The sequence below is a fragment of the Homo sapiens genome, chromosome 11 (assembly GCF_000001405.40).
Source record: "Homo sapiens chromosome 11, GRCh38.p14 Primary Assembly".
Taxonomy (NCBI): Eukaryota; Metazoa; Chordata; class Mammalia; order Primates; family Hominidae; genus Homo; species Homo sapiens.
The window spans coordinates 119,083,498-119,093,589 of NC_000011.10; the positions used below are offsets into that span (position 1 = coordinate 119,083,498).

At 51.0% G+C, this 10,092-nt stretch overlaps 1 protein-coding gene across 17 annotated transcripts, besides 3 other annotated features; it reads left to right on the forward strand.

The window, feature by feature from the left end:
- Positions 985-1,682: an enhancer, noted in NCBI's record as "H3K27ac hESC enhancer chr11:118955192-118955889 (GRCh37/hg19 assembly coordinates)". NCBI's record gives its function as "activates a minimal SCP1, AML or CMV promoter by ChIP-STARR-seq in primed H9 embryonic stem cells {active_cell/tissue: H9 hESC(primed)}" and the evidence as "EXISTENCE:reporter gene assay evidence [ECO:0000049][PMID:30033119]".
- On the forward strand, positions 1,384-10,052 carry HMBS (hydroxymethylbilane synthase). 17 transcript variants are annotated; one of them, NM_001425054.1, is made up of 15 exons: positions 1,384-1,569; positions 2,314-2,396; positions 4,758-4,811; positions 5,138-5,210; positions 5,585-5,634; positions 5,720-5,775; positions 6,186-6,263; positions 6,493-6,570; positions 6,693-6,768; positions 7,916-8,029; positions 8,628-8,666; positions 8,907-9,026; positions 9,261-9,314; positions 9,438-9,524; positions 9,613-10,051. In NM_001425054.1, exons 3-15 carry the CDS (start codon positions 4,776-4,778, stop codon positions 9,784-9,786), a joined length of 1,035 nt encoding a protein of 344 aa, NP_001411983.1. In that variant the 5' UTR covers positions 1,384-1,569; positions 2,314-2,396; positions 4,758-4,775; the 3' UTR covers positions 9,787-10,051. The 17 variants fall into 17 exon arrangements, with proteins under 17 accessions (NP_001411983.1, NP_000181.2, NP_001411981.1 ...); NM_000190.4 differs by lacking the exon at positions 2,314-2,396 and having other exon boundaries at positions 9,613-10,052; NM_001425052.1 differs by lacking the exon at positions 2,314-2,396 and having other exon boundaries at positions 1,384-1,660.
- Positions 1,612-1,661: an enhancer, noted in NCBI's record as "active region_5621". NCBI's record gives its function as "activates an Ori minimal core promoter by ATAC-STARR-seq in GM12878 lymphoblastoid cells {active_cell/tissue: GM12878}" and the evidence as "EXISTENCE:reporter gene assay evidence [ECO:0000049][PMID:35858748]".
- Positions 9,251-9,763: an enhancer, noted in NCBI's record as "H3K4me1 hESC enhancer chr11:118963458-118963970 (GRCh37/hg19 assembly coordinates)". NCBI's record gives its function as "activates a minimal SCP1, AML or CMV promoter by ChIP-STARR-seq in primed H9 embryonic stem cells {active_cell/tissue: H9 hESC(primed)}" and the evidence as "EXISTENCE:reporter gene assay evidence [ECO:0000049][PMID:30033119]".

A 10,092-nucleotide genomic window follows, 5' to 3' on the forward strand; every position in this document is an offset into this window, starting at 1 on the left:
CCTAGCTACTCAGGAGGGTGAGGCAGGAGAATTGCTTGAACCCGGGAGGTGGAGGTTGCGGTGAGCTGAGATTGCACCATTGCACTCCAGCCTGGGCAACAAGAGTGAAACTCCATCTCAAAAAAAAAAAAAAAAAAAAATGGGCGTCTCACTCTGTCATCCAGGCTAGAGTGCAGTGGCACCACCACAGCTCACAGCTACCTCGACCTCCTGGGCTCAAGCGATCCTCACACCTCAGCCTCCTGAATAGCTGGGACTACAGGTGTGTGCCGCCACACCTGGCTATTTTTGTATTTTTTGTGGAGATGAGGTTTTCACCATGTTGCCCAGGGTGGTCTCAAACTCCTGGGCTCAAGCAATCCTCCTGCCTTGGCTTCCTAAAGTGCTGGGAATATAGGTGTGAGCCACTGCACCTAGCTGGGTGATTATTAATAATCATGATTGTTAATTATGTTCATGATTACAGGCGCGGTGGCTCACGCCTGTACTCCCAGCACTTTGGGAGGCCGAGGTGGGCGAATCACCTGAGGTCAGGAGTTCAAGACCTGCCTGACTAACATGGAGAAACCTCATCTCTACCAAAAATACAAAATTAGCTGGGTGTGGTGGTGCGTGCCTGTAATCCCAGCTACTCGGGGGGCTGAGGCAGGAGAATTGCTTGAACCCGGGAGGCGGAGGTTGCAGTGAGCTGAGATCGTGCCATTGCATTCCAGCCTGGGCAACAAGAGCGAAACTCCGTCTCAAAAAAAAAAAAAAAATTATGTTCATGGGAAAGCACTTTTCCTAACAAGCCCTTTTCTCACTACATGTAGCGTTTGTGCTCCCACTTCAGTTACTTGTCTTTAGGCATGACCTTTAATCTCTCTGAACCAGTTTCCTCATTTTAAGAATTGAAATGCTGGCTGGGCCAGTGGCTCACGCCTGTAATCCCAGCACTTTGGGAGGCCAAGGCGAGATGACTGCTTGAGTCCAGGAGTTCGAGACTAGCCTGGGCAACATAGTGAGGCCACCTCCCCGCTGTCTCTATAAAAAAATCTAGAAATTAGTCCCACGTGGTGATGTGCGCCTGTAGTCCCAGCTGCTTGGGAGGCTGAGGTGGGGGGATCGCTGAAGCCGGGAGGTCAAGGCTGCAGTGACCCGTGGTCATGCCGCTGCACTCTAGTCTGGGGACACAGTGAGACCCCGTATCAAAAAGAAAAATGCTGCCTATTTCAAGGTTGTAGCAAAGCTAAGTTTGAACAGAGCAAAGGAAGCGCCATAGAAGCTGCACTACTTGCTCATGTCACAGCTGGGGAATGGGGTGGTCGAATGGGGAGGTCCACTGTCGCAATGTTCCAATTCCCGCCCAGAGGGAGGGACCTCCCCTTCGAGGGAGGGCGCCGGAAGTGACGCGAGGCTCTGCGGAGACCAGGAGTCAGACTGTAGGACGACCTCGGGTCCCACGTGTCCCCGGTACTCGCCGGCCGGAGCCCCCGGCTTCCCGGGGCCGGGGGACCTTAGCGGCACCCACACACAGCCTACTTTCCAAGCGGAGCCATGTCTGGTAACGGCAATGCGGCTGCAACGGCGGTGAGTGCTGAGCCGGTGACCAGCACACTTTGGGCTTCTGGACGAGCCGTGCAGCGATTGGCCCCAGGTTGCCATCCTCAGTCGTCTATTGGTCAGAACGGCTATCTTTTTTTTTTTTTTTTTTTTTTTTTTTTTGGTCCGAGTAGCTTTTAAAGGGCCAGTAGCTCGGTTGCCCTCCGGAAGGAATGGGGAAATCAGAGAGCGGTGATACTGGGTTAAGAGTGGAAGGATTGTTTGGAACGGAACTCCGGTCCCTGCGGGCATCTGGGTGGGATTCCCATCAGGCCTGGGATGCACGGCTCTAGATTTAGTGACCCAGACCAAGAACGTTCGTCTACACAGACGGGGTCCTTTCATTCGAGGCTGGGCTGAGGCGGATGCAGATACGGCCCCTTTGGGAAGACACGTTCCACTTTTGATTCATAGGAGAGAGTATCAGCCAAGCCTCCGAACTGCACACAAACGTCTTAGAAGTGCGCCTTCTTTTTGTGTTATAGTGGTCTCCCAGCCACAGCCAACGCTCCAAGTCCCCAGCTGTGACACACCTACTGAATTACTACCGTGGGTGGGAGGCCGCCGTGGGCCTTTCCATTACGAGCCTGCTTGCCGAGCCCTGGGCTTGTGCACAGACAAACTGCAGAGCTGGTGGAGGCCACTGCCAGGCCGAGATAAGAAAGAGATGGGGAGCTGCTAATCTCCCCCTGTCCAGCCTGTTGGTGAGGGCTGGGATCTTTGCTCTTGCAGTCATTCCAGAGCCCTGGACTAGGAGTAGGAAGATCTGAATTGTGGCCCCAACTCTCTTTCGGTTATTAGCTCTGTGACCCTAGGCAAGTCACCTCATCCCTTGATGCCACCCGTTGCTTCTGTAACATGGTCCCAAAGGTGCCTGTCTTGTCCACCTGATAGGATTTTTGAGACGACAACAATATGCAAAAGCAATAGCTTCAACATAGAAGTGCTCAGTGTTTTATTTTTTAATGAAACGGTTTGACTTGGATATGCTGTGCACATTCAATGAACTTAAGGAATTGTTTGAACCTAGTAGTTCTGGGACCTTAGAGTCCTTTCTGTGGGCTCCCTGTGGCCCAGAATTTTGGTGGCCACGTTTAATATCAAGCCTAGCCTAATTTGCAAAGGGTCTCCCAGGGTTAATTTATTGGAGTGATCACATGGAGTAGACCAGAGTCTGAGGGCAGAAAGCTGTCACCTGCTTCGGCAATAGAGGCCCCAGATGTCTGGGTGCAAAAGAACTCCATAGCACCCCGACCAACATGGTGAAACCCCGTCTCTACTAAAAATATAAAAATTAGGCCGGGCACAGTGGCTCATGCCTGTAATCCTAGCACTTTGGGAGGCCGAGGCAGGTGGATTGCCTGAGCTCAGGAGTTCGAGACCAGCCTAGGGAACACAGTGAAACCCCGTTTCTACTAAAAATACAAAAAATTAGCCGACGTGGTGGCATGCGCCTGTAGTCCCAGCTACTTGGGAGGCTAAGACAGGAGAATCGCTTGAACCTGGGAGGTGGAGGTTGCACTGAGCCGAGACCGCGCCATTGCACTCCAGCCTGGGTGACAGAGCGCGACTCCCCCTCAAAAAAAGAAAAAAAAAAAAAATATATATATATATATACACACACACACATATTTTAGCTGGGCATGGTGGTGTGCGTCTGTAGTAGTCCCAGCTACTTGGGAGGCTGAGTCAGGAGAATCGCTTGAACCTGGAAGGCAGTGGTTGTAGTTAGCTGAGAACATGCCACTGCACTCCAGCCTGGGCAACAGAGGGAGACTCTGTCTCAAAAAAAAAAAAAAAAGGAACTACATAGGATGAACATCCCAGATCAGGGAATGTTGACTGTCGACAGTATCAGTATCTACAGTGGCTACTGTCTGATGTAGAAAGAAATGGGATCAGGCTAGGCGTGGTGGCTCACGCCTGTAATCCCAGCACTTTGGGAGGCTGGGGCAGGAGGATCACAAGTTCGAGACCAGCCTGGCCAACACAGTGAAACCCCGTCTCTACTAAAAATGTGAAAATTAGCTGGGCATGGTGGAACATGCCTGTAGTTCCAGCTTGAACCCAGGGGTGGAGGTTGTAGTGAGCCTAGATCACGCCACTGCACTCCAGCCTGAGCAAAACAGTGAGACTCTGTCTAAAAAAAAAAAAAAAAAAAGAGAGAAATGGGACCTCCGTCTTAGACTGAAGAATTCAGTTCTACGTGCTTAGCAGTGAATACTTTTGTCCAAGGTACTCTGGCAGGAGGAAGAGGCGTGTCCTCTTGAGTTCTTGACTTGGGCTCTGGCCTGTTAATATTTCCATGTTGGTGAAACCAGAGGCAGCACTCTAGGTGCACGAACTTTAGGCAGCGCAGCCTCCTAGTCTTATGGAACATCTGAGGCAGAAGAAACCTGAGTCCAACCTTTTCATTTTATAGATGAACAAACAGATCCTGGTGGGACAGTGTACCCAAGGTCACCCAGCCAAGAGGCTGAGCAGGACTGTACGTCAGATCCGTTTACCTCAGTCCTTAATGCATGCAGTCCAGCCAGATTAAGGGACCCTTAATACTGTCAGCTTTCCCCACTGTGGGATCTTCATCCTCTTGACTTCTTTTGTAGCCAGACATCTGGGCCTCTTGCTGGAGAAGGTGGCAGCTTGCTGCTCTTAGACTCTAGTCTACTCCATGTGGCATCTGGATGGCACTGAAATTTTCTCAAGTGCCTTGTCTGTTGTAGATAATGAATCTATCCTCCAGTGACTCAGCACAGGTTCCCCAGTGTGGTCCTGGCTGCCCTGCCCCTGCCAGCTGCAGGCCCCACCCTTCCTGTGGCCAGGCTGATGGGCCTTATCTCTTTACCCACCTGGCTGTGCACAGCACTCCCACTGACAACTGCCTTGGTCAAGGTGGGCTTCAGGGCTCAGTGTCCTGGTTACTGCAGCGGCAGCAACAGCAGGTCCTACTATCGCCTCCCTCTAGTCTCTGCTTCTCTGGATCCCTGAGGAGGGCAGAAGGTACTGAGGAAGGTTAAAGGGACCAGCCTTGGAGTATTTCCCCACTCTGAGACTCAGCTGGCCACAGGCCAGGTTCTGAAGTTCCTTTCTTCCAAGCCAGTGATTCTGGTTCTTGGACAAGGTGTTGAGGAACACTAGAAACAGAGGGGACTGTGACCTGGGGACTTTTTCTGCAGGAAGAAAACAGCCCAAAGATGAGAGTGATTCGCGTGGGTACCCGCAAGAGCCAGGTGGGTGCAGGAGCCGGGGTGGAGGAGGTTTGTCAGAACAGTTATGATGCTCACAGCATCACAAATTGGGGGACTCAGAGGGTTAGTTCCTAGTATGAAGGAGATGGGGTGGCTGGGCGTTAAGTTCCCCGGGAAATGGCAGATTACATTCTATGGCAAGATCATCCCTAGGCTGGGAAAATTGTTGGAGTGCAGAGGGCTCCCAAGCCCCTTCTCATGCCCAGATGGAAATTCCAGTCCCTTCAGGATCTGCCTAACCTGTGACAGTCTAAAGAGTCTGAGCCGTGGCTGGGAAGGGCAGGACTAATCCAAGTCTCTACCCGCAGCTTGCTCGCATACAGACGGACAGTGTGGTGGCAACATTGAAAGCCTCGTACCCTGGCCTGCAGTTTGAAATCAGTGAGTTTTCTGGAAAGGAGTGGAAGCTAATGGGAAGCCCAGTACCCCGAGAGGAGAGAACACAACATTTCTGGCTTTGCCTATAGCTAAAGCCCGTCCCGCTGCCCCGAGATTCCTTCTGGGCTGCTCCCAGTTCTGAAGGTGCTTTCCTCTGAATACCTCCAGCTCTGACTACCTGGATTAGCCTGGCATTTAACATCTTGAGCTTTGGGTCTTTTTATGAGTGTTTCTGGTCTTCCTGCTCGATTGTATATACTCAGAGGGCAGGAACCAGGGATTATGTGCCTCTGTCCCCATCATGAATCGTAGCACAGCGCTAGGCTCAGTAAATGCTGATCAATAATGAGCACCTGATTGATTGACTCTCTCCTCAGTTGCTATGTCCACCACAGGGGACAAGATTCTTGATACTGCACTCTCTAAGGTAACAACATCTTCCTCCCCAGTTCTTGTCCCCACTCTTCTTTCCTTCCCTGAAGGGATTCACTCAGGCTCTTTCTGTCCGGCAGATTGGAGAGAAAAGCCTGTTTACCAAGGAGCTTGAACATGCCCTGGAGAAGAATGAGTAAGTAAAGATAGGAGAGTGTGGTGCCCTCCCAGTCTCTTGCTGGGACCCTAGTATGCTAGGTCTCTTGCTGGGACCCGGGGTGTCAGATAGGCTGCTGGGCTTAAACCCTCAGAGAGGCTGAAGGCAGCTCATAGGTGGGTTTTTTCAGGCTTCAGAAAAGGAGAGTGTCTGGTTCTGAGCCATCTGGCTGCCTGGACTGCAAGAATGGCTGGGGGAGGGAGGGTAGGAGGGAGAGTAGGAGGGAGAGTGAGAGGAGAGCAGTTTTCATGCTCCTGAGATCTTGAGAAGGTGTGCTTCCTGAACTGCCCTAGGCTCCACCACTGAAGTAGAGGCAGGGGTGGGTGGAGAAGGGGTGAAGGCTGGCTGCTCATACCCTTTCTCTTTGCCCCCCTCTCCCATCTCTATAGAGTGGACCTGGTTGTTCACTCCTTGAAGGACCTGCCCACTGTGCTTCCTCCTGGCTTCACCATCGGAGCCATCTGCAAGTAAGAGTCTTGCAAGTAAGGGGCTTGGGCAGGGGTAGGCATCATGTGAACCTTTGCCTTTCCCTTTGGGGCCTGACCCTCTGCTTCAGGGTTATCTCCTCTGCCCTGAGGAGTGTTGACTGGTGGCAGAAAACTCAAGAAATACCAGTGAGTTGGCAATCGAGAGAGAATAGAGGTGATCTGAACTTAAATCTCTTCCCTCATTCTGTGCCCTTCCCTCCTCCCCCAGGCGGGAAAACCCTCATGATGCTGTTGTCTTTCACCCAAAATTTGTTGGGAAGACCCTAGAAACCCTGCCAGAGAAGAGGTAAGTGGGGCCTGGATAGGCAGCTTGGTGGGATGTGCCCAGAAGATGCAGGGATGGGAGGAGGAGGAAAGGAACAGTGACTGCCTAGTGTTAAAATCTCATTGTAACTTCTCTCTGGGCAGTGTGGTGGGAACCAGCTCCCTGCGAAGAGCAGCCCAGCTGCAGAGAAAGTTCCCGCATCTGGAGTTCAGGAGTATTGTATCCTTTTAGAAGAGTGACGGATCCTTTTGGAAGAGTGACGGAGACAGCAGCCAAGGAAAAAGACAAGGTCTAGAGGGCTCTGGGAGTCCGGAGAGTGGAAGGGGCTTCCAGCAAGCAGCCCGTGGGGTCAGTGGCCTGTCTGTCTTTCCATGCACTCATCCGTCCACTCATTTACAGTCTAATGTTTTCTTAGCCCCAGACAAGTGTTCAGAGTGCAAGGCATTGGGGATAATGGTGAGCAAGATAAACATTTCCCTGCATATGTAGAGTTTACGTCTTACTTAGGGATAATGCAGTTATACTGAACTGAATAGTGACTACTTCTGGAGGGATAGGGAGTACTTCCTTTTTTTTTTTTTTTTTTTTCTGAGACGGAGTCTCGCTCTGTTGCCCAGGTTGGAGTGCAGTGGCGCAATCTAGGCTCACTGCAACTTCTGCCTCCTGAGTTCAAGCAATCTTCCTGCCTCAGCCTCCTAAGTAGTTGGGATTACAGGTGCCACCACACCTGGCTAATTTTTGTATTTTTAGTAGAGACTGGGTTTCACCATGTTAGTCAGGCTGGTCTCAAACTCCTGACCTCAGGTGATCCACCAGCCTCGGCCTCCCAAAGGGCTGGGATTACAGGCTTGAGCCCCGCACCCGGTCAGTACTTCCATTTTTATATGCTACTATATTGTCTTGACTTTTACAATGAATATGTAGTACATTTCATAAAACTAAATTTAAAAATAGTATGTGCTAAGTGCTCCAATAAGTGAAGTTGGGAATTTTCTGGAAACTTCTAGTTGGAACATCTAAACACAGAAGTCTGGGGTGTCAGGGAAGGTTTCTCAGAGGTCTTGTAACCTTGGCAAGTTATTTAGCCTCCCTATGTCATTTTCCTTATCTGTAAAGTGGGGATAATAATACTACCTTCCTCACAGGGTTGTTGTGAAGATGAAATGAGCTGACATATGGAAAGTACTTTTAGAGCAGTGTCTGGCATGTAGTAAGTATGATGTAACTGTTAGCTGTTAACATTAAGCTGAGAGCTGGAAGATGACTGAAAGTCAGCCAGCTAGAGAGGGAAAGACAGACTCAGGCAGAGGGAACCGCACGAGGCCCCAGATTGCCCGACACTGTGGTCCTTAGCAACTCTCCACAGCGGGGAAACCTCAACACCCGGCTTCGGAAGCTGGACGAGCAGCAGGAGTTCAGTGCCATCATCCTGGCAACAGCTGGCCTGCAGCGCATGGGCTGGCACAACCGGGTGGGGCAGGTAGGGCCTGCCCCTATCCTCTCCCCAGCTCATCTGCATCTCCTTTCTGCCTTACAGTCATCCCCAATTTAGGATTTTTAGACTTTATGATTGTGTGAAAGCGATATACGTTCAGTAGAAACTGTACTTAGTACCCATACAGCCATTCTGTTTTTTACTTTCAGTACAGTATTCATTACATGAGATATTCACTTTATTGTAAAACAGGCTTGGTGTCAGATGATTTTGTCCAACTATAATAGGCTAATCTTAAGTGTTCTGAGCACATGTAAGGTAGGCTAGGTGTATTAAATGCATTTTCAGCTTGTTTTCAACTTAACAATGGGTTTATCAGGATGTAACCCTATTGTAAGTCAAGGACCATCTGTCTTCACTTCTTGACCACCCCACCTCTAACACCGTAGGCTGGGAAGATTGTGAATCAGAGGCCAGACTCTAGGCTTTCATGGAGAAAATTTACAAAAAAAAAAAAAAAGAGGCCAGACTCACACTTAGGCCTACCCAGGCTTTCTAGATGATAGGGAACTCCCATCTCACTGCCAGGTGCTTTTAGACACCCCCGTGTCCACCCTTTTGACTCCCTGTTCCGCCTCCACAGATCCTGCACCCTGAGGAATGCATGTATGCTGTGGGCCAGGTACACTTGACCAGGGAAGCCACATGGTGACATATGCCTTCCCTTTGTTCTCAACCAAGAAGCTTGTCTCACAACCTTCTGCATCTGCTTCCCCAGAATAGCATTCTCAGGGAGGGGCAGACCTTGGGATGCTACCGGTCCAAAAGGCGCTGGGGAGCAAGTAGATAGAGGTGGTCCCATGCTTTGCGCCATTGGTTGGGGAAAGATCAGGCCTGATGTCCTAGGATGTTTTTCCATCAGGGGGCCTTGGGCGTGGAAGTGCGAGCCAAGGACCAGGACATCTTGGATCTGGTGGGTGTGCTGCACGATCCCGAGACTCTGCTTCGCTGCATCGCTGAAAGGGCCTTCCTGAGGCACCTGGTAGGGCCTGTGCTCCACCTGTGGAGGGCTGGGGACTTGGAGAGCTGGGAAAGGTGGCAGGGAAGATTTCTTACATGAATGCTCTGTATACAGTGCTAACTCATTCTTGTTGAATGTTGTGTATGGATAGGACCAGGTCTGGGCCCACAGTTGCCTTTTCAGTGATGTCCTCAGGTCTGTGGTCACAGGGTGGTGTTAAGAGCCCTTGCAGCTCACAAGAACTTCTTGTTACAGGAAGGAGGCTGCAGTGTGCCAGTAGCCGTGCATACAGCTATGAAGGATGGGCAAGTAAGTGGGGGGAAATGGGCGGGAAGCCAGGGAAAGGAGGACTGTGGCATTTCTTCCTGTGCATCCCAGGTTTCTAGGTAGTCCCCTCTCAGACTGTGCTGAGGCAACTGTTTTCTTCCCCAGCTGTACCTGACTGGAGGAGTCTGGAGTCTAGACGGCTCAGATAGCATACAAGAGACCATGCAGGCTACCATCCATGTCCCTGCCCAGGTACCAAAGCTGGAGGGCGAGGGGGTAATAAACAAGAGTGCATATAATCTCTTGTTCTCACCAAATCCCACCTCCTTCCCTCATACAGCATGAAGATGGCCCTGAGGATGACCCACAGTTGGTAGGCATCACTGCTCGTAACATTCCACGAGGGCCCCAGTTGGCTGCCCAGAACTTGGGCATCAGCCTGGCCAACTTGTTGCTGAGCAAAGGAGCCAAAAACATCCTGGATGTTGCACGGCAGCTTAACGATGCCCATTAACTGGTTTGTGGGGCACAGATGCCTGGGTTGCTGCTGTCCAGTGCCTACATCCCGGGCCTCAGTGCCCCATTCTCACTGCTATCTGGGGAGTGATTACCCCGGGAGACTGAACTGCAGGGTTCAAGCCTTCCAGGGATTTGCCTCACCTTGGGGCCTTGATGACTGCCTTGCCTCCTCAGTATGTGGGGGCTTCATCTCTTTAGAGAAGTCCAAGCAACAGCCTTTGAATGTAACCAATCCTACTAATAAACCAGTTCTGAAGGTGTTGTGTGTGCGCGTGTGGAGTTGGCGGGAAGATAGGAACAA

Excerpts from the sequence above, each read along its gene's own strand:
- HMBS (NM_000190.4), top strand. The coding sequence starts at position 1,537 with ATGTCTGGTAACGGCAATGCGGCTGCAACGGCG. Across the intron at positions 5,776-6,185 it reads CATGCCCTGGAGAAGAATGA|AGTGGACCTGGTTGTTCACT; the intron begins GTAAGTAAAGAT and ends CCATCTCTATAG. Across the intron at positions 9,027-9,260 it reads GGGCCTTCCTGAGGCACCTG|GAAGGAGGCTGCAGTGTGCC; the intron begins GTAGGGCCTGTG and ends TTCTTGTTACAG.